Source organism: Homo sapiens, chromosome 2, assembly GCF_000001405.40.
Source record: "Homo sapiens chromosome 2, GRCh38.p14 Primary Assembly".
Classification (NCBI taxonomy): domain Eukaryota; kingdom Metazoa; phylum Chordata; class Mammalia; order Primates; family Hominidae; genus Homo; species Homo sapiens.
The window spans coordinates 89,180,956-89,206,980 of NC_000002.12; the positions used below are offsets into that span (position 1 = coordinate 89,180,956).

Sequence of the window (26,025 nt, forward strand, 5' to 3'; positions counted from 1 at the left end):
TCTGTTTTTAGCAGCTTGGCATGAAATAAATTTATCTGCTATTTAACATAGTGGGAGTTTTAGGGGAAAAAAATCATAATTTTGTAAATAACATCAAAGAAAACAGTATTTGGGGAAACACTGGATCTACATAATTAAGAGATGTAGCAAAATTATAATGATTATTAGTAATTATTTAGTGTTTAATACATTTGAAAGTTATAAACATTTTATAAGTATTCAATTACTTAATTATTATAATAGTTTTATGGTATAGTTACTTCTTTATTTTCCTTTATTAGAGATAAAAAAACAAGGTAAAAGTGTTTAAGTCATTTGCCAAATTTACACATATATTAAGTGTAAGAGACAAAATTCCAACCAATGATATGTGATTACAATCTGTGTGTTCTGTTATCACAGAAACTAATATTTCAAAATCTCTTTCACTGAGCTTTCTACATGATTTCATCAATTATGTATGAGTAACTTGAACAAGATAACACTGCTGGATCATTGCACTGCCTTTGCTCAGTTTTGTCACACGAGAGAGGCAAGATTTGATGTTGTTGACAGTAACAGTACCCTGCATCTTCAGGCTTCAGGCTGCTGATTGTGGGAACAAAATCTACCTCAGACTCGTGGTCACTCAACCATGCAGGGACACTAGGGTTCTGGATAGTGGCTTGCTTCCCTCAACCTTAGTCCAGAACTTGAAAATTGAGAACTCATGAACACAAGTAAGGGAACAATACACACTGGGGTCTACCTGAGGGTGGAGGGTGGAAGAAAGGAAAGGAGCAGAAAAGATAACTATTGGGCACTGGGAATAATACCTGGGTGACAAAGTAATCTGTACAAGGAACCCCCATGGCACAAGTTCAGTTATGTAACAAAACTTCACATATATCCCTGAACCTAAAACAAAAGTTAAAAAAATAAAAATAAATAAAACTGAGGTGGCACAATATTCTCATTGACATTTGAATTTTTTTGAAAAAATCACATAAGCACAAATGTCAGTGAGGTTAAACACATCCCACTCTATGAGCTTATCATGTTACTCAACACTGTGAGTGCTCCATGAGAAATCAAATGTCACAGACCAAAAAAGGTACTAAAGATTCAACTTACAATGAGAAGAAAGCAAATTTCACCATCATGTGGCACCTCCTCATAATCCTTTTCCTTATCTGGGATCAGGCAGCAGGAGACAGAAGAGTTGAGCTCCTTATGTCCATTATGTACATGGCTGAGGCAGACACCTGCCCTGAGCCAGGGAACAGCCCACTGATAACGGCTTTGATATGTAGCCAAATGCTCTATGGAAAGCACGCAAAGTCATCCCAGGCTGAGATATTTTGGAGCTTCTTGTTCCAGAACAGATTATTTCACAGCTGTCACACACACACGGATGATCCTTCCCCAGTGTCTTCAGTCTGTAGAGGGACTATGTGGAACCCCTCACTTAATAATACTCCAGATCACCACAACATTTCCTCAGTCCTCAGCTGCAGCTGGTCTTGTTCTGGTGATGACTAATGCGAGTGACCACAAGCATGTTATATGAACCTTATAAGACCATGGTCATCATAAATAATAATCACTGATACAGCTATTAATTCAAGTGGCTTGAATACAGAGTCATTTTCTTGGTATGAACCTAACCTGGGAATGTTCCATACAAAATGGATCAAGATTATAAGGTCAGTTACCATACTAACAGAATTTGGGGATTTAGAGTTGAGGGAAACAAAGTAAAAGAAGAATGTGGAGAATTTTATACAAAAGCCATACTGACTATAACTGAAAATAAAAAATCCATGCCTTACAGTGTAAATTCAAGAAAAAAATTCACAATAAAGTGAAAACGGCAAAGAATTAATGAAGAAAGTTTACATTAAACTGCCTCAAAGGATAATGAGAGTTTTGATCAACATAGAAGACACTGCTAAAAACTCATTATTTGTTGTTTGATTGGATGAAGTTGCTTGAAGGGATGAAAAGTACAGTTTGAGTGAACTCCCATTCACAATTGCTACAAAGAGAATAAAATACCTAGGAATCCAGCTTACAAGGGACGTGAAGGACCTCTTCAAGGAGAACTACAAACCACTGCTCAATGAAATAAAAGAGGATAGAAACAAATGGAAGAACATTCCATGCTCATGGGTAGGAAGAATCAATATCGTGAAAATGGCCATACTGCCCAAGGTAATTTATAGATTCAATGTCATCCCCATCAAGCTACCAATGACTTTCTTCACAGAATTAGAAAAAACTACTTTAAAGTTCATGTGGAACCAAAAAAGAGCCCGCATTGCCAAGTCAATCCTAAGCCAAAAGAACAAAGCTGGAGGCATCACACTACCTGACTTCAAACTATACTACAAGGCTACAGTAACCAAAACAGCATGGTACTGGTACCAAAACAGAGATATAAACCAATGGAACAGAACAGAGGCCTCAGAAATAATGCCAGATATCTACAACCATCAGATCTTTGACAAACCTGACAAAAACAAATGGGGAAAGGATTCCCTATTTAATAAATGGTGCTGGGAAAACTGGCTAGCCATATGTAGAAAGCTGAAACTGGATCCCTTTCTTACACCTTATACAAAAATTAATTCAAGATGGATTAAAGACTTAAATGTTAGACCTAAAACCATGAAAACCCTAGAAGAAAACCTAGGCAATACCATTCAGGACATAGGCATGGGCAAGGACTTCATGTCTAAAACAACAAAAGCAATGACAACAAAAGCCAAAATTGACAAATGGGATCTAATTAAACTAAGGAGCTTCTGCACAGCAAAAGAAACTACCATCAGAGTGAACAGGCAACATACAGAATGGGAGAAAATTTTTGCAACCTACTCATCTGACAAAGGGCTAATATCCAGAATCTACAATGAACTCAAACAAATTTAAAAGAAAAAAACAAACAACCCCATCAAAAAGTGGGCAAAGGATATGCACAGACACTCCTCAAAAGAAGACATTTATGCAGCCAACAGACACATGAAAAAATGCTCATCATCACTGGCCATCAGAGAAATGCAAATCAAAACCACAATGAGGTAGCATCTCACACCAGTTAGAATGACAATCATTAAAAAATCAGGAGACAACAGGTGCTGGAGAGGATGTGGAGAAATAGGAACACTTTTACACTGTTGGTGGGACTGTAAACTAATTCAACAATTGTGGAAGTCAGTGTGGTGATTCCTCAGGGATCTAGAACTAGAAATACCATTTGACCCAGCCATCCCATTACTGGGTATATACCCAAATGACTATAAATCATGCTGCTATAAAGACACATGCACACGTATATTTATTGTGGCACTATTCACAATAGCAAAGACTTGGAACCAATCCAAATGTCCAACAATGATAGACTGGATTAAGAAAATGTGGCACATATACACCATGGAATACTATGCATCCATAAAAAAGGATGAGTTCATGTCCTTTGTAGGGACATGGATGAAGCTGGAAACTATCATTCTCAGCAAACTATCACAAGGACAAAAAACCAAACACTGCATGTTCTCACTCATATGTGGGAATTGAACAATGAGAACACATGGACACAAGAAGGGGAACATCACACACCGGGGCCTGTTGTGGGGTGGGGGCAGGGGGGAGGGATAGCATTAGGAGATATACCTAATGCTAAACGGCAAGTTAATGAGTGCAGCACACCAACATGGCACATGTATACATATGTAACAAACCTGCACGTTGTGTACATGTACCCCAAAACTTAAAGTATAATAAAAAAAAGAATTATACACTTAAAAAACAAAAAAGAAAGAAATAATTTATCCTATAGGATTTCCCACATTTAGGGTTTGCCTGACTGTATCCTCATGATTTCACTGAGTTTTAAATAATAATTACATTGTTTCCAAGGCAAAAAAAAAAAAAAAAAAGAAAAGTACAGTTTGAGGGAAAAAAACATTTAAAAAACACAGACGTTTGAAGCAGGAAGCCCTGAAAGGAAGCTGTGGCTTTATGCTCTGTGGAATTTTGACTGCTGAGTGCCTTCTTCCTGAAAGGGAGTATCTACAGCATTGTCTGTCAAGTATGTGCATCCTAGTCCTGTCTCATCATTGTTCACAAGTCTTGAGTGGGATAGGGGGACAGGTGATATTTAGGAACTATGGGCAAAGAGGCTCAACTGCACAGAGTCTGATCTAGATGAGGAGATCTTGAACTTTAACTTACCACCATCATGGGAAATGCTTGTAGATGTTGCAGATGAAAATTAGTATATGTTGCATACAGTAAAAATGTAGATTGATTTAAACAAGCGTAGAGAGTTGCCAGCTGGATACTCCAAGATGGTCACAAGATCTTCCATCTTATTAGTTCCTCTAATAGTGTGATGTTGATAATTTCCCTATTGGACATATTAGCATACTTTTCCCCCTTTGGAATCTTAGTGAACCTATAATTGTCATAGAAGTAACACTATGTGTCTTCTGAGGCTATAGTAAGTCATAAGAGGTTATAAAACATCTGTCTGGTACTCTTCGAGGAAGTGTACAAGAAGCCAAGCAGGAGCATGTAGAGATTCACAGCCTCAGCTGAGGACTCATCCTATAGCCTGAATTGGCCACCTTTTATATGACTCCATCCCCAGCTGCTATCTGACTACATCCATGTAAGAAATCCCGAGCAGAAATCTTGGTCAGCCCAGGAGACACCTAACAACTACAAAGATAATAGTATAATGATGTCAATTGTAATGTGTCATTAAGTTTTGGGTGATTTGTTCTGAATCAGTAGTAACTAGCTGCCAACTCATAAATATAGAAAGAATTTGGAAGTAGAAAGTCATCTATGGTTACTAAATGAATTTGGGTAACGTATACATTGGAGTTCTTATATTACTTTGGCAATTTTTCTTTAAGTTTAACAATATGCCCAAATAAAAAGTCACATAAAATATGTTCAACAAATCAAAACCACTATGAGATACCATCTCACACCAGTTAGAATGGCAATCATTAAAAAGTCAGGAAACAACAGGTGCTGGAGAGGATGTGGAGAAATAGGAACACTTTTACACTGTTCGTGGAACTGTAAACTAGTTCAACCATTGAGGAAGTCAGTGGGGCGATTCCTCAGGGATCTAGAATTAGAAATAGCATTTGACCCAGCCATCCCATTACTGGGTATATACCCAAATGACTATAAATCATGCTGCTATAAAGACACATGCACACGTATGTTTATTGCAGCATTATTCACAATAGCAAAGACTTGGAACCAACCCAAATGTCCAACAATGATAGAATGGATTAGGAAAATATGGCACATATACACCATGGAATACTATGCAGCCATAAAAAATGATGAGTTCATGTCCTTTGTAGGGACATGGATGAAATTTGAAATCATCATTCTCAGTAAACTATTGCAAGAACAAAAAACCAAACACCACATATTCTCACTCATAGGTGGGAATTGAACAATGAGATCAGATGGACACAGGAAGGGGAATATCACACTCTGGGGACTGTGGTGGGGTGGGGGGAGGGGGGAGGGATAGCATTGGGAGATATACCTAATGCTAGATGACGAGTTAGTGGGTGCTGCGCACCAGCATGGCACATGTATACATATGTAACTAACCTGCACAATGTGCACATGTACCCTAAAACTTAAAGTATAATAAAAAATAAAAAAATAAAAATAATAAAAATAAAACATAAAAAAAATGTTCAACAAAACCAAACAGAAATGTACAAAATGCAGTTGGATAAAAATAAAGAAAACTCCAATAAATGGAAGGTTGCACCATGCTCATGAATTGGGAGACTTAATAGTGTATATTCTCCCTAAATTTGTTGAAAACGTTCACAATAAAAAATCTCAGGGAATTGTTGTTGCAATTGAAAAGACATTACTTAAATATATATGAACATTCAAAATGCAAAAAGTAATCAAGACAGTCTTGCTAAGATAAAAAATGTTGGAGGACTAATAGTACACAATACCAAAGCCTGTAAGTTACAGTAATTAAAATATATGGTATCAGTGAAGTGTCAAACAAATTAGCCAGTTCAATCAGTTTGAGAATCCAGAAACTGATCCACCCATCCGTAGTCATTTGATTTACAATAAAAGTGCTACTTCAAAGTAGTAGAAGTAAAATAAATTAATCATACTGGATCAATTCAGTATCTGTATTATATGAAAATGAATCTTAATTCTATACCATATACAAATGTTAATCATCAATAAATTTTAAATATAAATATGAAAGGCCCAAGAGTAAATCCTCTACAAAAGGGTATAGAAATATATTTCATGACCCTAGAGATAAAAAAATAATTCTTAGAGAAAATAAACAAAATATCTAGCATAAAGAAATTAATAACTTAGACTTCACTAGTATGACATCCTTTTTATAATGTCTAAAAGAAATAAACAACTTTTTAAAGGAATACATATAGAAGAAATAAACTACATTGATAAAGAATATTGAATTGAAAATTTTGATTAACTTGGTGGTGGGAAATAATATGTTTAAGAGATTGTGGAGAACCTCAAAATGGATACCAGTTGATATCTTAAGTGGTTGTTTTGCAGGATAGTAACATGAATTTATTATATTACTAATATTAATGAATGCATTAGTGAGTGCTAAAAATATGAATAAATAAATAAGAACCATAATGGATTAATAATAAAAGTGCATTATGGACCAACATTATAATTGTGTTATTAACCATCATTGATTATTATTCCTTGCAATCAGTTAATAAAGTTGAGGCCCATTAAAAAAGATAATAGAAAAAGAAAAATGAAAGGGAAGAAGGAGGAATTGAAAGGAGGACAAGAAGATGTTGTAAAAAAAATAAATTAACGAGAAAAGTTAAGTAAAAAAAAAAACTCTTGCGGACTCCAGAACATTTCTACATTATGTTTTGCATAATCAATAAAATAAAGAAAAACATATAACCTAGGATGAAAAATAGCACAAAATATGTAATTATCGAAAATGTAAGCATAGTTCCTTAAACTCTGTTGCAATATAAGAAAAATAAAACAAACTGCATCATTAAAAACAAAACCCAATATTCAAGACAATATAGCAGAATTGGCACTGCAATTGATCAAAACAGTGATATGGAAGGCAAACTAGAGTAGCACTTTTGTTTTTCAAAGGAGAGAATCATGACATTAGATAATAAAGAGAGAGCTTAGACAGAAAAACAGAGTAGAAAGTTAAACCTGAGAATTAAACATTTTCCTAAGGAAGAAATGAGTCCTTAGAAAAGAATCAGTAAGAAGAAATGTAATCTGAAATAAAATTTCCATGTCTGTTAACTACTAATGAGTGTAAATTCAGTGGAGTCACACAATTGTATTCAAACATTTATAAAATGAGAAAACACAAATATTTCATAATAAAATACAAATTCAAAGAATGTAAGGGTTATTTTTTTCAAAGATAAATGTCAGGCTTTCTTCAGAGTCCTGGCCTGCAAAATGAACTCCCAGTAATCAATGTAATTATATTTGAAAATGTGCAAAGTTTTTATAAAAGAAATTATACTGCATGCATTTTCTATTGAACTAGGGAAATAAAATATGAAGAAAATTTTTAATTTGAAACAAGTAAATTATGATATGCATAAGGATTTATGAAACTAGAAACCCTTGAAAAATGTATTACAGCTGATAAAGAGATGAAGTAAAGTCGGTTGCTCAAGAAGAGGAAGCTGTGGTTTGTGATTGTAAAAGAATGTTGGTGAGGATAAAAATCAACAAAACCTATAAGTTAATCTAACTAAGTTAAAAATGTGTTGATAAATGCAAAGTCATTCCATAGGAAAAATTCCTCAAATATAAGGCATATAATGCAATGCAATTTAACTGTAATAATCTGACTATAACAATGACAATATTACTCATGCAAAATTAGGAATCATAATTGAAGGGCAATAACAAGTTTTACCATCATACTGGTTTAATAGATGATAAAATTTAATAACCAGTATTTTCCTTGACTTCAAAATTTAAAATTATAGATTTATATAGGCATAACAAAAAGTAAATATGACATATATGCTTATATTTTGTTCTTTCAGTTTATTCCCATTCTATCTTGTTTAGGATTCACTCACGGTGGTCATTTATTAATTTTTTTTAAATAAAACATCTAACCTTTCGAGATCATTCTACTCTATATAAGGAATTACAACAACTGACACAAAAAGTTAATTAGTGAGAGAGAGAGATGTCAGTGCTCAGTCCTTTTATGTCAGGCACTAGTCCAGAGCACAAGATCCTAAGGACAGACACACTACCTAAAGAACAAGGCATTCTGCTTAAATGTTACCTCCTTCCTACAGGAAATTTTCATTTCACTTTCCTCAGCTCCCCGTCTTTCATTCTGATTAGCTCTCCTTAGTTTGTGTCTTGAACCAGTTCTTCCTTGTCTGAAGGAACTTTTCCACTTCCTGAGTCCATTCCCAACTCTAAACACCATTGCGAGTGAGTACCATCCACCAAGTAGTAAAAACATGTAACCAGGTTTGGGAAGACTAGGAAAAATTTAAAAACTATTTAATGGGCATCTCTAAGCTACCTTGGATTTATTTTCTTACATCTGGATATATTCTAGTTCTTCTAAACGCCTCCTCACTCAGAGGTTTTTTCTTCTCATTGCATAGGTTGGCAATAAAATAGAATCTTTGCACTGCTGGTGGAAATGAAAAATGGTGCAGCAGGTTTGGAAAACAGTCTGCAATTCAAGTGGTTAAACATAGAGTTACCATATGATCCAGGAAGCTCTTAAGTGTGGACCCAAGAAAAAGGAAAACATATATCTACACAAAAACTTGTACTTCAATGTTCTTAGCAAGTTACTGGCACATCTTTAGAATTATTTAGCAACAACTTTGTCCTAAAAAGGGGTCACCAGAATTCTAAGTGATGCTCTTCAACTAGCTGGATCATCTTGAATAATTCCTATCAACAAATCTATCTGGGTTTTAGTCATCTCATCTTTACTGAAGGATAGAGCAAGTATAATTTTGTGTATGTTTTTATTTCACTTTTTATAGTGTAAAATTACCAGTGTCTTCAGTGAATAAATAAAAGTGAAAAACACATTGAAGCAAATTGTTCTGATTCTACAAATACTGACTTAATTGGATTCGTACATTTAGGGTAAATAGGAACCATCATTAAAATGCAATACATTTTGAGTAGCTTAGAATTTTGATGCTTTCCAGGACAAAAAAATAAAAGAGGTTATAGTGACTCATGTGTTCCTGATGACACTAACAGTGTGGTAACCTTGTAAACCCTGGGCTTCCTTACATTTGGTGCCCTGGTTCCATAGATGGAATGTGAAAATGAATACAGATTATAATTAAATACAATTTGATTAGACAAGGAAAGAAGTTAGGATGCATTGATTGGTGCAAATAACATTATGCTTCATAACTTTTTTAAAATAAACTTTTGATAAGATAAAACTTACCCATACATGTATATTCACAAATCTCAACATGTGTATATGCACTCACAAATTATAATGCAGGTTTTAATAAATTTTTCAGAGATTGAACACACTGTATAACAACCGTACCAAAGCAGAACACTCCCGGTCTCCTAGAAGCACCTTCTGTCTCCTCCCAAACATTAGCCCCACTCTTCTCCAATGCAAATTTAAATCTCACTTTCAGTAACATTGATTTAGTGATGGCGGTTTTTGAACTATATAAAAAGGAATCATGGATAGTGAGCTTTTTATTTCTAACGTCTTTTGCGCATTATTATGCTAGTAAGATACACCCACATTCATGGATGTAGTAGCAGCTTTTATATTTTCATTCATCCATAGTATTTAATTGTATGCACCTACCTCATTTTATTTATTCAAATTACTCTAGATTTGTATTTAGAATGTTCCCAGTTTGGGGCTATCACTAATAATGCTATGAGTGTTATTTATTTATTTATTTATTTATTTATTTATTTATTTATTTATTTTTGAGATGTAGTCTCACCCTGTCACCCAGGCTGGAGTGCAGTGGCATGATCTCGGCTCACTGCAACCTTCACCTCCCGGGTTCAAGCGATTCTTCTGCCTCAGCCTCCCTAGTAGCTGGGAATATAGGCGTCCGCCACCACGCCCAGCTAATTTTTGTATTTTTAGTAGAGACAGGGTTTCACCATATTGGCCAGGCTGGGCTCGAACTCCTGACCTTGTGATCTGCCTGCTTCAGCCTCCCAAAGTGCTGGGATTACAGGCTTGAGCCACTGCGCCCGGCCGAGTGTTATTGCACATTTCTTTCTGTGCACATCTGTACACATTTCTGAGTGGAAGGGCTGGATTAAAAAGGGATTATATATTCAGTGTCAGTTCTCCAACTTGTGGTACCACTTTATATTCCCAAACACAATGTGTGGCCCTTCTAGTTCCCCCTTTCCGTCACTGTATTTGGCATTGTCCCTTTGAGTCATCCTATTGAAGTTTTAGTGGCAGACAGTTGTGATTTTCATTTGTAGGACTGGGATGATTATTGATGTTGGACAGCTTTTTATTGTGTTCACTCTGTTGTGCAGTGTCACCTTTGTCCCTAAAAAGTGTCACTATATGTGTTAGTCATTCTCAGAATACTCTCTTCTGTTGCATTAGGCAATTTGTTTGAACTCACATCAGCAGCATGGTTCGAGTATCCAAGTAGTGTAAGTCCTCATTCTTGGGCTTCTTCGGGTTTATTGTGGTTATTCAAACTCCTTAACAATGTAATATGATATGTAGAATCAGCTTTTACATTTCCATTTAAAAACGGTTTGAAATTTTGATTTCGATTATCTTTAATATATCAATCTGTGAAGAATGAACATCTTTACAATACTGGGACTTTCAACCTTTGAAAGTACTGTGGCCTTCCATTTGCTTAGATTTTCTTTGATTTCTTTGAATTATATTCTGGAGCTGTCAGTATATTTTGTTAGTTTTTTCTAATGCCTCTTGGTTTGGTGCTACTATAAATGATGTGTTTCATAATTTTAATTTTAGCAGTTGTTACATTTATATAAAAATAAATATATTTTATATTGATCTTTAATCTAACAATTTGCTATGTATCTCATTAATTCTAATAATTTCTGTGTAGACAATTAGAAATTTCTCCCCCACACAGTCCTTTCATCAGTGAATTGTTATACCTTTAATTCTGCCTTTCTAATTCTTCTTCTTTATCATTGTCGCTGCTACTTTATCGCACTGGCCAGGACCTTTAGAGGCGTCCACTCATGTGAGTCTGATCCAATGGCCTTGACCATGAAATTGTGCCTGAACCTGGCTGTACATTTGGGTCTGAGAAAAAAATCCATGAGTGAAACTATAAATATTATAAGGAATTACTTTTGAGAACCTCAGAATTTCCAATCAAAGCAGAGATGCTAAAACTGAGCAGCACCACATCAGATGACTAAAAAGGAAGCAGGTAGTATAATCAAATAAACACCTTAGGTCTCCTGGAGGTTTTTGTTGCATGTCGAATCAGTATGGGACACCAACTACTATGCTGATAACAGTGATGAAGTGCAAATCTCCAGGCTCCAGGCTCCAGGCTGCCGATGGTGAGAGTAAGCCCTGTCCCCGACCCACTATCACAAATCAGGGCTGTACCATAGATGAGGAGCCTGGGAACCCGCTCAGGTTTCTTCTGGTACCAGGCTTAGTAGCTGCTAACACTGACTGGCCCTGCAAGTCAGGGTGGCTTTTTTCTCCAGAGACAAAGACAGGGAAGCTGGAGACTGTGTCATCACTGTTTCTACAGTGAAATCTGAGATTAGAAATAAAACGCCTTACAGTCTTTAGGATGGCTATTATAAAAAAGACAAGAGATAAATATTGATGAGGGTGTGAAGAAAATAAAACACTTGTACATTGTTGGTGGGAATGATGATTGGTGCACCCATTATGGAAAACAGTATGGAGGTTCCTAAAGAAATTCAAAACCTAACCACCTTATAACCCAACAGTGACCCTATTTTGGATACATACCCAGAAGAGATGAAATCACCACCTTCTTTTAAAGATACCTACACTCCCGTGTTTATTGCAGCATTATTCACAAGAAATGAGAAAAACCTGAGCATCCGTGGACAAATAAATGAATAAAGAAAATGTGGTATACATAAATGTACACACACACACACACACACACACACACACACACACACCATGGAATATAATTCAGCCTTAAACAAGAAGATTCTTTTTTATTATTATTATTATTTTTATTTTAGAGAAGTCTCACTCTTGTTGCCCAGGCTGGAGTGCAATGATGCTATCTCAGCTCACTGCAACCTCCTCCTCCCGGGTTCAAGCGATTCTCCTGCCTCAGCTTCCTGAGTAGTTGGGATTACAGGCCCATGCCAACACGCCCAGCTAATTTTCTTTTGTATTTTTTGTATTTTTAGTAGAGACAGGGTTTTGCCATGTTGGCCAGGCTGGTATTCAACTCCTGATGTCAGGTGATGCACCCGCCTAGTGCTGGGATTACAGGCATGAGCCACCACACCCAGCAGAAAAAGAAGATTCTTCTATTTGCCGTAATGTGGATGGACCTAGAGGACAGTATTCCAAGTGAAAAAAGCAAGATACAGAAATAAAAATATTGCCTGATTTTACTTACATGTAAACCTAAAAATAAATTAAATAACTAAAAAGATAAATTATGCAGAAATAGAGAATGAAACAGTCGTTATTAAGGGCCGGGGGTGGAATGGGAAGAAATGGGAAGATGTAGGTCCAAAGATGCAAGGTAGTAAATATTTACGAATAGCAAGTATAGAGATCTACTGTAGAAAATGAGGGCTATAGTTAATAAAACTGTACTGTATTAGAGATTTTTGTTAAATAAGTAGATTCCAGCTGCTCTTGTCACAGACGAAAAAGTAACTATGTGAGATGATAAATGTTCATTCTCTTCACTATAGTAAGCATTTTACTATCTATATGTATGCCACAACATCATATTGCAAACCTAAAATATACAGAATAAAATTTATTTTTTGAAAAAACAGTTTAAACAGAAAAACAAATAATCACACATGTAATCTAGATTATACCCATTGTCTTTCCAATAGAGTCAAGACCATTGATTTACATTGAGCTTTAATTATTGTGCTTGCTGAGCGGAAATGCCAGGTTGAAGGACCCAACAAAGTTGAGAGAGTTTTCACTGACACACAGAACCCCCCACGCCCCCCCGCATATTCCCCTCACCTGGGACCCAGAGTAACATAAAGAAATGGTAAATACATGAGCTGATGCACATCCTAAATATCCTGATTTGATCATTTTTCAACATATGTACATATCAAGACATCAAAGTGTACTCCATAAATATGTACAATTACAATGTGCCAATAAAAACAAATAAAATGCAAAGTTACCTATTAGTGACATTAGAAAGTAATGGAAGAAATGAGGACTAGGTGATCTAAAATTCTAGAGTAAAAAAACAACTAATTCTAGTTGAGTTGGTGTTCATCTGACATTTTGTTTTTCTGCCCTTTTTTTTTTTTTTTTTACCAAATGTGCGTTCGGATAGAAATTTTGATTTGGCACAGACAGAGAAACCCAGCAAGAAGAGAGAACATAACTGAGCTTTGAAGGTTGCACAGGGCAATTTCTGTGCAACCATAGCCAGATTTTTCATGTGGCATTTGCTGAGTTCTGAGTCAGGAGACAGGCTGCGGGAGCTTGGGTAGGAAGGCAGAAATCTCCAACACTCAGGATGTTTTTTCCTCCAGTGCTGTGCAAATCATCCTTTGTATATGTCTGAACCATGGACATTGATCACTATCCCTTTCTGCTGGGCCTTTTGGTTAACACGTCATTGCATGTTCATCTCCACAAACCTGACCACATCATCTCTGCTATAGGGGCAGAATGAGTTCTAGAAGATCTCTTCATGCTGAGTTGAATGGGATTGAGTCTCTTTGCACGGGAACTTCACTAAACCTTTGATGATTACAAACCTAAACAGCTTTTCTCGCCATTTTCCCATGAAACTTGCAGTGGCACAGGCTCAACTCAGGAAGCCAGGCAGTGGTCTCTTCAACTCTGTGACTCTTCACAAGAAATACCTCGGGACTTGATTTTAGGTTTATGTCATCAACTTGCAACACCCACTGGCATCTGAAGTTCACCAAATGTAAGTTAAAATGCAGGAGGATTGTCTAATACGGTAGACACAGTAGCTCATATCTACTGTGTTCCTTGTGTGTTCCCATTCCTGAAGTACCCTCGAAGTCTAAAACTGTTATCATTCTCTATTCTTCTAGCAATATATAGGGTGAATTCTATGCCCTGTATATTCCAGTGTATGCTTTTATTTTTAAAACCCAACTTTTGGAATTTCAAGAATTCCTTTTATGATCTATCAGTAAGAAGTAATCAAGGCAAATCAAAGAGTTTTAGCATTTGGATCTTGTATCTGACATTAATTTACAAAAGTCTATTTAGGCACTCAAAAACCAAGATTTTTGCTAATTGCCCCCAACCAGCTACCCGTATAAATGGGGAGCCACATTTTACAACTAGTGTAAAATGTTGTCTACAGTATCTTTATTACATAGGAAGAGAAGCAATAAGTAAGGAAAGTAGAAAGCTTGGAAGGTGGAAAATACCAATTTCTAAATATGACCAAATAATTATCCTATTAAAATATACAAAAATGGATGAAATACATACAAATGAGGAGGCACTCAGCATGTGTTGCCAACATTTGTATCAATTGCCTGGCACTTATGCTGATTAACTACAATTGAGAAATGTAAGAAAGGAGGATTCGAATGAGCTTTTATTCAGTTGCATCATGAATCAGCATCAGCTCCATGGGACCTTCCCCATTCTCCTACTGCTTTTGCCATGTCAAGGCTTTTGCAGCTGCACAAATGAGTAGTTCCTGAGATGTAACCAAGGAATTCATGAGACCAATCTACTCCTCTGAGTTGTCCAACATTTTCCTCATGCACAGACTCAGAGAACTTGCTGTGCTGCTCCCCAGACAAACATCACATGTGAGCAGCTGGGCCACTTCAAGCAGAGAGGTTTGTGCTCAGGGCTGTAGCACTGTGGGAGGATCTTGTGCATCTTGCATGCAGTAATAAACTCCAACATCCTCAGCCTCCACCCGGCTGATTTTCAGTGTGAAATCTGTCCCTGACCCGCTGCCACTGAACCTATCTGGCACTCCAGAGAACCGGTTGGAAACTTCATAGATCAGGAGCTGTGGAGACTGGCCTGGCTTTCTGCAGAAACCAATACAAATAGGTGTATCCATCACTATGCAGGAGGCTCTGACTAGACCTGCAGGACATGGAGGCCTGCTCTCCAGGGGTGATAGACAAGGAGAGTGGAGTCTGGGTCATCACAATCTCTGCACTGGATCCTAAAATAAATAGAAAGAAGTGGAAGGATATGTACAAATATCATGTGTCATTTATCATAAATTTTCATTTTTTATTTCAGGCTATATAATTTTTTGTTGTTTGTATTTATACACTAAACATATTCCAAATTTGCAAGCCGCAAAGGGGATTCTAGAAATCACCTACACCACCTCCCTTTCTCTGTGTGACAATCTTCACCAGATCACACAGGTCCTTGCTTCTTTTTGAATTGTCCTCACTCTCACAGATTTAAACCTCACATTCCCCATCCTGGAGAACAAGACCTGTACATCTAACACATGGGCAGGGCAGAACACACATGGAAGGCAGTGGGACCCCCAGGCTTACCTTCCCACCCCATTCTCCTCCCTCATCTCCTTCTGTCCTTACCAGGGACCCAGAGCATTAGCAGCCCCAAGAGCTGAGCAGGGAGCCTCATAGTGAGAAGGTGAACTGAGGAGTCCTGATCAGTCAAGGTAAGGGTTAGAGCTGAGCTTTTATCTCAGACCCACAAGGGAAGGTCCTCCCTAGAGGACAATATGCAAATCCCCCGGTGGGTGCAGTGATGCTAAGCGCAACAACAGGAGGATGAGGGCTTCTCTTGTGGGCAAGGGGACATAAAATATCCTGCGTGTTTCAAGGAAAACTAACCAAGATAAAATCTGTGTTGCTTCAGTTGGAGAAGAGACATATTATAATATTTCCTTTTCTTTCCACCTGTTTTTCAACAGTTCTTTAGCACTTTTCCAGGCACATTTTGCACTTGTCTTTAATAAAGTTGAGTTTCCATAAATATTGGCTGATTCTTTTTTCTTGCCTCCAATTTTCTTTAAAAGAATCTAGGCTTGGCTTTTCTATTTTTTTTTCATTGAAATAAACCACATATAAAGGGCAGAAATCCTAAATGTGGAATGAATAAAGTTTTATGTATATTCACTATCCAGCTGAAACTATAGAATGTTTCAAAATTTCTGGATGATTCTCTCGTACACCTTCCCATTCAATAACTGCCTCCCCATCCCAACCAAAGTAACTGTCTTTCTGACATCTACCACGATAGTTTGTTTGTACTTGGTAGTGAATATCATAGAAATTGAAGTAAACTTTTTTTTATCATTGTGTCTATTTTTTTCCCAGTTCTTTACTATTTCGAGGCCTTTATTTCTGCTTGTGGATTCAAATTACTGTCCTCTATAATTTCATGTGATTCTGAACAATGTTTTCTTAAATTGATTTCAGATAATTTATTGAATGTCTACAAGTAATAATTTCTTTTCATTTGTGTTTATCAAGGTAAGGACTAAGCTCTGATTTTTTTTTTCCTTGTCTCAGTTCCTATCTAAGGAGTCTGGGGAGTCATGCCCTACAAACTATAAATTCTCATCAGATGGGTTTTATTTAACCCTACATATCCCTGGACTTACTTTCCAACCTGACTGTGGTGTAACATTATGCAACAAGGCAGAAAATTAAAATATTTTACCCCAAAACATGTTTCTTTGCCCTATCTTGAAATGGCCTTGCAAAGCTGTCCTTTGTGGGGAAAAATTTGCATCTGTAAAGAATCTCTATTAACATAGCTAGATCTTTTTCTTCCAGGCTCTCCCAATCTTAAAGAAGAGTGTAGCACATTTTAAAGATCTGAATAGGAAATATTTGTAATCTATCGTCTCTAAAGGCAGCCACTATATGACTTCAAAAGAACCTTGGTCTTCCACAGTCTTTTATCTTAACCTGAACATTTATTTTCTATTGATCCCAGGTCTTTAGACAAACTCAACCAATTGTCAACAAGGAAATGCTAGTTAGAGCCTGGACCCTCCCCCGCTTCCCCACTCCCGATCCTCACCCCTGCTTTGAGTTGTCCCGCCTTTCTGGATCAAACCAATGTATTTCTTAAATGTGTTTGATTGACGTCTCATGCCTCTCTAAAATGTATAAAACCAAGCTGCGCCCCAACCACCTTGGGTACATGTTCTCAGGACCTCCTGAGGGTTGTGTTGGGGGCCACGGTCACTCATTTGGCTCAGAATAAATCTCTTCAAATATTTTAGAGAGTTTGACTCTTTATCGACAAAGAAATATGTTTAGTTTGCTTTATTGTTAAAGTATACTTTTGCTGTATATAGAATTTTGGGTTGATTTTTTTCTTTCAGCATTTGAGTATGCCATTCCACCGTCTTCTCGTCTCCATTAGAAATAATGGACCCTTATTCAGTGTCTACATTATTGTATCTTTGTACATAGTGGTTTTTTTTCTCTTGAAGATTTTCCCTTTGTAACTGTATTTCAGCATTTTAATTACAATATGTGTAGTTATGAATCTTTTTTGCTTCCCCTGGATGTGTTTCATCACATTTCTTGGATCTATATAGTAATGTATTTCAATACATTTGAAAAGATGTTCCCATTATTTTTCATATACTTTTTCAGCTCCTTTCTCTCTCCCTTCTCCTTTGTGACTCCCATCCACATTTGTTGGTGTTCTTCACACTGACCTATACATCTCTGAGGTCTTGCTTGGCTGCTTACATCTTTATTCTTTGGAACAGATTATTTCTATTGGTTGATCTTCAAGTTCACTGATTCTTCTGACACTGTCAACTATTGTGGTACCTATCTAAATTTTCAATTGAGTTATTCTACTTTTCAGTTTTAAAATTCTCTTTTGATATTTTTTTGTCTTCATAACTTCCACTGTTATATTGAAAGTCGCTATTTTGAAACCACCTTTGCAAAAATTTTAATAGTAGGAAAATTATGGCAGTAAAAGAGATCTGATCTAACCCACCTCCCCATCTTGCATTTTCCTTAATTATTCCTGGGCTTTTGGGCAGAGCTAACTTTGGAAGCCATTTAGGTTATAGTTTAAATGATGATATGGGTTACCCAAAACTCAGCTACCTTTGTAAAGATCATGAAAGGCCATCAAATAGTGGGAAAAGAGGAGCCTGATTCTGCTAAGGTGTGGACTGGTCACCAGATACTCCTGCAGATAACACCACTATTGTAGATTGGCCTTTTAAGATATATTTTCAAGTATTGTTGCATATCTGACAGCAATGGCTCCACCTGGACCTGCTAACCCACATCCTGTGGCCCCACTCAGGAGAGATTCAGCTCCAGAGAACAGCTCTGACATTTTATGACTTCATTTCTGACCCAACCAATCAGCAGCAAGCACCCATTACCTGGCCACCCCTTCCTCCAAACTGCCTTTGAAAAACCCCTAACTACAGGCCTTCAGGGAGATTGATTTGAGTACTAACTCTGTCTCCCATGTGGTGTGGCCAGCCTCATGTCTACCAAAACTCTTTATTGCAAATGAAACTGACTTTGCAAAATTATGACTGAGACAGTGAAAGAGGTCTAAATTAACTGACTCCATCTTGCTTCTAACCTCCAAGTTGTCCTTGTTCATTCCTGGGCATAGGCTGAACTAACTTTGAGAGGAATTTAGTTTAGAGTTTAAAACAAAGACAATAACAGCCTTTTCCCAAAGCAGATGTTCTTCTTGCCTGGGGACTAGATAGGCTTTGTAGGACTAACATTAGCCACAAGATTAGAAATTATGGTTTATGAGTCATGCAGCTGGAGGCTACAAGGTTCTGACCCCCCCTAAACTGCTCCTAAGATCAGTGCTTGAGATATTTTGCAGATCTTGCACTTGATGGATCAGCTGGCACCACCCAGATCAATAAACTGCTAATCTGATCTTATGGTCTCCCACCCAGGAACTGACTCAGTGCAAGAAGGCAGCTTTGACTCCCTATGATTTCATCTCTGACCAATCAGCACTCCTGGCTCACTGGCTCACCCACCACCCACCAAGTTGTCCTTAAAAATTCTGCTCCCTAAATGCTCAGCAAGACTGATTTGAGTAATAATAAAACTCTGGTCTCTCGCATAGCCAGCCCTGCCTGAATTACTCGTTCTCTGTTGCAATTCCCCTGTCTTGAGAACTCAGCTCTGTCTAGGCAGCAGGCAAGGTGAACACATTGGGCAGTTACACAATGTCGTGGTCTTCATTTGTGCAGTGGTTAGGAAAAATCCCTCAGCTAGGTACAATGTGTTTAATCATTTTTTTCATATTTTCCATTTTAAGTATTTGATCATAGAGTGCTGATCGAAAGAAATAAATTTTTTAAACATCTTTAAAATAACTCTATTGAATTCAACATCTCATTTGGTCTTTTACAACTGCGAGGTGAGCAGCAGGTAAGCAAGCAAAGCTTCCTCTGTCTTTAGAGCCTCTCCCCATTGCTTGCATTACCACCTGAGCTCCACCATCTGTCAGATCAGCAGCAGCATTAGATTTTCACTGCAGTGCAAACCCTATTTTGAACTGTACATGTGAGGGATCTAGGTTGTGTGCTCCTTATGAGAAACTAATGCCTGATGATCTGTCACTGTCTCCCATCACCCCCAGATGGCACCATCTAGTTGCGGGAAAACAAGCCCAGGGCTTCCACTGATTCTACATTATGATGAGTTGTGCAATTATTTCATTATATATTACAATGTAATAATAATTGAAATAAAGTGCACAATAAATATGTGCTTGGATAGTCCTGAAACCATCCCCGACTCTTGAGACCCATGGAAAAATTGTCTTCCATGAAACCAGTCCCTGGTGCCAAAAAGGTTGGGGACCACTGCTATAGATAATAGAAACCAGGATTGTCATTTCAAGAAACAGAAATCACAAATAAGAAAATGAGGAAAAATAGAATGATACTTGTGGAATTGCTCCTTAGGAGCTTATGTTCTTTTCTTACTTATATTTTCATTTGTATATTTTAATTAGTTTTGAAATAAATTTAGATTTATGCAAAGTTTCAAAAGTAGTAGATTGTTTCAATATACTTCTCCTCTACCTTCTCTTAATATTAAACATCTTAAATAACCAAAGTGGGATGATATAAAATGAAAAATTAATATTGATACAATAGTATTTACTCCATATTTGGATTCCACTAAATTTTTCACTAAAGATTCTTTCAAGTTCCAGTATCAAATCCAGGATGACATATTGCACTTAATTTTCTTGTCTCCTTAATCTCCTCCAATCTGTGATCATTGTTTATTCTTTCTTTGTCTTTCATGACCTTGATGCTTGTAAAATGTACTATCAATGATTTTTAAGATTGCCCTTCTAATTTTCTCTATTAATTAATTCAGATTATATGTTTTTGACAAGAATATCACAAAAGAGATGGTCCTTGTCAGCCAGTGCATCATCTTGAGTTGCATAATGTCAACATGTCTTATTACCTGTGATGATGAAGGACTGTGATCAATAAAATCCTTTCTGTAAAATGTTTTGGACAAAGGGAGCACACGCAACTGCTTTCACTGCTCTTCCTATTTGGTCATGTCCTCACATTATTAGAAATAATTTATTTTTCTCTGAGCCTGCCATTACTTATTTTTTTTTCAGAATTTAGTTATTTTTGAAGTCTGCTAACCAATTAAGAATATTGAAAAAATAATGTTCATTCTTAAACAGTAAATTTTCAGTGATGCCATTTACCAATGGAATGTTGTTAGCTTGAATAATGGAACAGGGGAATAGGATTATTAAAACATAGAAGTATACACCAACAGACAGCTGTTACTAAGCCATGTAATTGGATAAATGAATTGAGTTTTCTACCACTAGGAATGTTATAGAAATCAAATGGAAAGATACTGCAAGCACTGAGCTGCTCCTAACTGGAGAGATTGAAATACAATTGCTGCCATATTATATAATTCACACAGTTGAGACACAATATTGGAGAAGATGAAAGTCTAGGGCCTCAGTTTAAAATATATAGCATTTGTTATGAAGAATATATATTTTTCCAAGTTTTTGCATTTGTCATCTGATGAATCAGTGGGATTATGACTGAGTGTTGCTAGGGGTATGGAAAGAGGAGCTATTAGAGAAGGGCTACCAGACTTTACTGGATATAATTAGCCTAACTTGGACTTGTGGAGAAGAAGACTTAGAAGAAAAGCATTTGGTAAAGCCACACATGTTTTAAAAATCAAATACTTGCATCTTGAAAAACTATTTCCAGAGAAAAGCAATGACTTAGCAAAAAAGTTAAATGACAGTTTAGGTGACCAATTCAGTCTCATACACGTGCAGCTGCTTTGCTCTTTTTGCCTTGCATCCCTGAGGTCTCAGAAGGGCCTAGGCTTGAAAGGACTTGTTTCCCCAGGAATCAAGCAAGTAAGAAAATAAATTGACAACATACTTAGAGGAGAAGCCTGTCAAACTTCCAGGGGAAAACCTGGGATTAGGGGAAGCCAGGAAGAGCATGGCTGAGCCAGAAAGGGTGGAGCACATGAATCTCATGGAGATGAGCCATTAGGCAGGAAGTTGAGAATCAGAACAGCTGATTTAGAACAGACCAGTACCTCCTTATGGATCTGACACTGTGTATGGTCCAGTGGAATCTGCCATGAGGCTGTGAGTTGAGCAGCAAAGTCAGGGCAAGGCAAACTGTTCTTGGAGCCATGGACAACAGGAGAGTATTTCTTCAGGGCCAGTGATACAGGGGGCCTGAGAAGAGGGACTCAGGATGGAGCCCTCTGGGAGCTGCCTCAGCAATGCTGTCTGGACACTGATCATTTAATGAGAGGGACCCCTGGGCTTAGAGCCACACCACATCTTCCCACCTCCTTCAAGGGCTCCTCACCATTTCTACCTCACCCCAATTTCCTTCTTCTCTAAGAGGAGCAGCTGCTCAGACACTGATTCCCTGGAGGAAGCAGATGCTCAGCTGAGCAGAAGGGTTGACCCTGCATGGGTGTGTCACGTGTGTCCATGTAAAGAGAGTCCACCAACAGGCTCTGTGTGAGCAACAAGGCTGTTTATTTCACCTGAGTGCAGGCGGGCTGGTCCGAAAAAGGAGTCAGCAAAGGGTGGTGGGATTATTATTAGCTCATATAGGTTTGGGATAGGCATACAAAGTACATTCTCAAAGGCGGGGAGAATATTACAAAGTACCTTTTTAAGGGCAGGGGACACTATATCGTATCAGTTAGGGTGGGGCAGGAAAAAATCACAATGGTGGAATGTCATCAGTTAAGGCTATTTTCACTTATTTTGTGGATCTTCAGTTGTTTCAGGCCATCTGGATGTATACATGCAGGTCACAGGGGATGTGATGGCTTAGCTTGGGCTCAGAGGCCTGACAGGGAGGTGTATGTTTAGGGCTGTTCCACTGTATAGGGTCCCAGTGAGTGCGCTGCTCACAGAAGTAATATGCAACGTCTCCTGGCTCCACATTGGTGATTGTGAGTGTGAACTTCCTCCCAGACCCACTGCCACTGACGTGGGCTGGGACCCAGGAGCCCTGTTTGTCACCATATAGATCAGTGGTTGAGGAGATTGGTGTGGCTTCTGTTGGAACCCGTTCAAGTAGATGTCTCCATTCCTATGGATGAGATTGCGACTGGCCTTGCAGGAGACGGAGACCCTGTCTCCCACGGCCACAGACAGGAGGGATGGGGGCTGAGTCAGCACAGTAGCCTGATGGGAAAGGGTGGAAAAACAATTGATCAGTCTGAATGCAAGTCAAAAACAATGGTTGTGAATGAAAAAAAAGATACATCATATCTAGGTGTTCTTCAGGTTTTTAAGCCTCTGCCATCTGAATGAAAGGCTGAAATAAAAACTTTGGCCATTGATCTTCACTGTCTCACCCACTGGATAAGAGTGGCCACCACTGTTCTCATCCTGAAAATTACATATATGTACAAAGAATCCTGTACCATGAATGCAGAGCACCAGGGGCAAGAGGATCCATCCCAACAAGACCATCCTGGGCAGGGGAATCTTCTGGAAGTCTGTTTTCAGCCTAGATGAGCAGAATCAGATAACAGGTTCACTTTCACACCTTAGATGGAGCGGTCAAATAGCCCATGTATGTTTCTATGCAAAAGACCTTGAGTGCTAGGCATTCATCTCTGAACCTCAGTCAAAGCTTCCTATGAGAGAGAATGCCTCACTGCGGCTCCCAGGCCGGCTGTATTCAGATGCCTGGGCATGGTCCAACCATGGGCTCAGGTTGAGCAGAATCATGACTTAACGATAAATATCCCAGGGGTCAGCTGACCTTCTGAAGTGTCAAACATGATATTAAAGGATCGATATGGGAAAGGAAAAATGTCACTAGGATGTGATTTTTCATTTAGTTCAGAGAGCTATTTCTTCTGCTCATTTTTCTTTCCTGAATGGAGTCATAGATATAAATCTAACCAAATATACAATTTTCATTGTCCTCTTAATCATTGGCAAACTATATCTACACTTCTGGAGCATCCGGGAAGCTAGCCCATACCAGTGCTATCTTTGGAGCCAGGTGGTAACTGTGGATGTGAGCAAATGACAGTTAGATCTACAAGTCTCCAAGACCATGACCACTGGCCTGGGAGGACCTGCAGGGTTTGCATGTCCTCACACCTGGATGAAGAACATCTTGATCCTTGTCCTTTTGATGCCCTTCAATTACTAGGCCACACTCCAAAAAACCTAGTCCTCACTCCTCTCCTTTGCTAGACAGACCCTCTCACTCACAGCTCTTCCTCATGGACATTTCCTGTGAATCATTTCTCCAGGCTTACACACACTCTGCATGTCACAGTATGTGACAGAGGGAACTGATGTTTAAACAATTACCCATTGATTAGGTTGTTCTGAGTCCTAAGTTTAATTGTCCTTCTACAATAGAGTCAGCTAGAAAAATAAGAAACGCGAAGAGGTGTAAAATTATTAGTGCGTGAAAATGGTAAGCTATGAACTGGGATCATGAAGTAATAATAGTAATAATAATAATAATAATAATAATAATAATAATAATAATAATACCCAGAACCGGCCGGGACTCTGGGCCATTGTTAATCCGAGATCCCAGAGCCCTCTCTAGGATCGCTATTGCGCACGTGCCCCCTCTTGTGGTCAACTCCGCCAAGACACCTGGTGTTTTTTCCCGGTAGGTACTTGACAGTGTCATTCCTAGTGAATAAAGTAAGTCTTTTTTGCATATTCTCAAACACGCTTTCTTGTTTGTTTGCTTGCTTGTTCATGATGCCTAAAACAATCATAAATGGTTTTCAGGCACTATCCAAGACTGTGGAAACATAAGCGAGTGGTGGGTAGCTTTCAGTTAGATGTTAATACCTATGAATTGGGATTTCCTCATGTCTGGTTTCCAAGTGTTGTGGAGGCCACACAATATGTTGCTGTCCAACGCTCTCTAGTTAGCAATAGAGTGACCGTAAGTTTATCAGACTTGAGGCCCACAGCGGCTCAGTCAGTGATTTCTTACTCCACTCTTTCGTTGTTCCCTCAGTCGGAATCTGTGGGCAGTTTCCACCATGTCTGTGCCTCTGGCCTCTCTCAGCTCCCCTGCAGTGCTGGGAGTCAGGGCTGATGGCTGCACAGAGAGAGGTCTTCGTATTATCAGCTCTGGCTAGAGCTCAAGTTCAGAGCAGGACAGTGCCCTCCAGATGATTATAGAGCAGAAAGACTGCCTCTTCTGTCTTCTCTAAATGGAGTACATTCTAGATTTTTATGAAATATTTGCATTCCAGTATTTATGGAATGATTTAAATTATTTTTCAAAACTGTATTGGAAGCTGTGTCTGAAGGCGAGGAGCAATGCTTCTTTTTTTTTTTTTTTTTGAAACAGAGTTTCCCTCTTGTTGCCCATGCTAATGGCTAGACTGCAATGGCATCGTCTTGACAGTCTGCAACCTCCGCCTCTGGGGTTCAAGCTATTCTCCTGCCTCAGCCTCCCAAATTGCTGGGATTACAGGCGGAGCAATGCTTTTGAAAATGGCTTTGCTCTCTGGTTCCACACAAGGCACTGAAGCCTGCGGAATTTAGGGCTTCACGTGGATTCGAGGGTCCCAGGCTGCCACCTCATCACTCAGCCTCCTTTTCTTGCCCAGTGCTCTGTGTTCTTTCTCTGGTCAGGAAATTCTCACACATTTTGGTCTAAAATGGAAGGAGTGTTGCTTCTTTCACCTGAGGATCAATCAATTTACAATTTTTGAGACAATAATTTACACTTAATTAAATCAAATCACGTTCATCATATTTGTCTAGAAATGATTTTATTCTTTTTATTTATTACAAATTGCCTCATGGCCTGACCAAACTTCCAGTGGATCACTTGCAAGAGCAAATTTAACTGTCAAATTTACCGTTACATTCATCCATTGAGTTATTGGTTTGAATTACTTTATATTTGACATTTGTTTGATTTCTTTTTATAGTTTCTTGTTCTCTGCTAAAATTCTTGATCTTGTCATAGAATGCATTCAGCATATAATATACTATTGTCCCAATATCCGCAAATTATTTTGGTCCCTTTCTGTTGCCTGTTTTTTTTCTCTCCATTTTGTATGTTTGGGTATTGTTGATTGAAATCACACTATGTTTAATACACTTAATATCTATGTAGATTTAAACTGATACTTGCCCTACAACATTTTAGAAGCAAGTTTGGGCTCTGGAATAATTTTCACACTCCAGAGAGGATTTACTTCTTATTCTGCCAGAATGAAATGCTAGGGCTGTACCAAGTTAAT

The 26,025-nt window shown here is 38.0% G+C and overlaps 2 pseudogenes and 1 further gene, besides 4 other annotated features; 1 reads left to right on the forward strand and 2 right to left on the reverse strand.

Moving 5' to 3' along the window:
* IGK (immunoglobulin kappa locus) overlaps positions 1 to 26,025 on the forward strand; it is a 1,378,008-nt gene that overhangs the window by 323,595 nt on the left and 1,028,388 nt on the right.
* Positions 11,536 to 13,313, reverse strand: IGKV3-25 (immunoglobulin kappa variable 3-25 (pseudogene); annotated as a pseudogene). The gene is given in 2 exon segments: positions 11,536 to 11,813; positions 13,262 to 13,313. Coding segments are annotated over 2 exon segments (330 nt in total).
* Positions 11,803 to 11,813: a sequence feature (IGKV3-25 leader sequence).
* Positions 13,262 to 13,313: a sequence feature (IGKV3-25 leader sequence).
* Positions 15,121 to 15,874, reverse strand: IGKV2-26 (immunoglobulin kappa variable 2-26 (pseudogene); annotated as a pseudogene). Its single transcript is given in 2 exon segments — positions 15,121 to 15,434; positions 15,826 to 15,874. Coding segments are annotated over 2 exon segments (363 nt in total).
* Positions 15,424 to 15,434: a sequence feature (IGKV2-26 leader sequence).
* Positions 15,826 to 15,874: a sequence feature (IGKV2-26 leader sequence).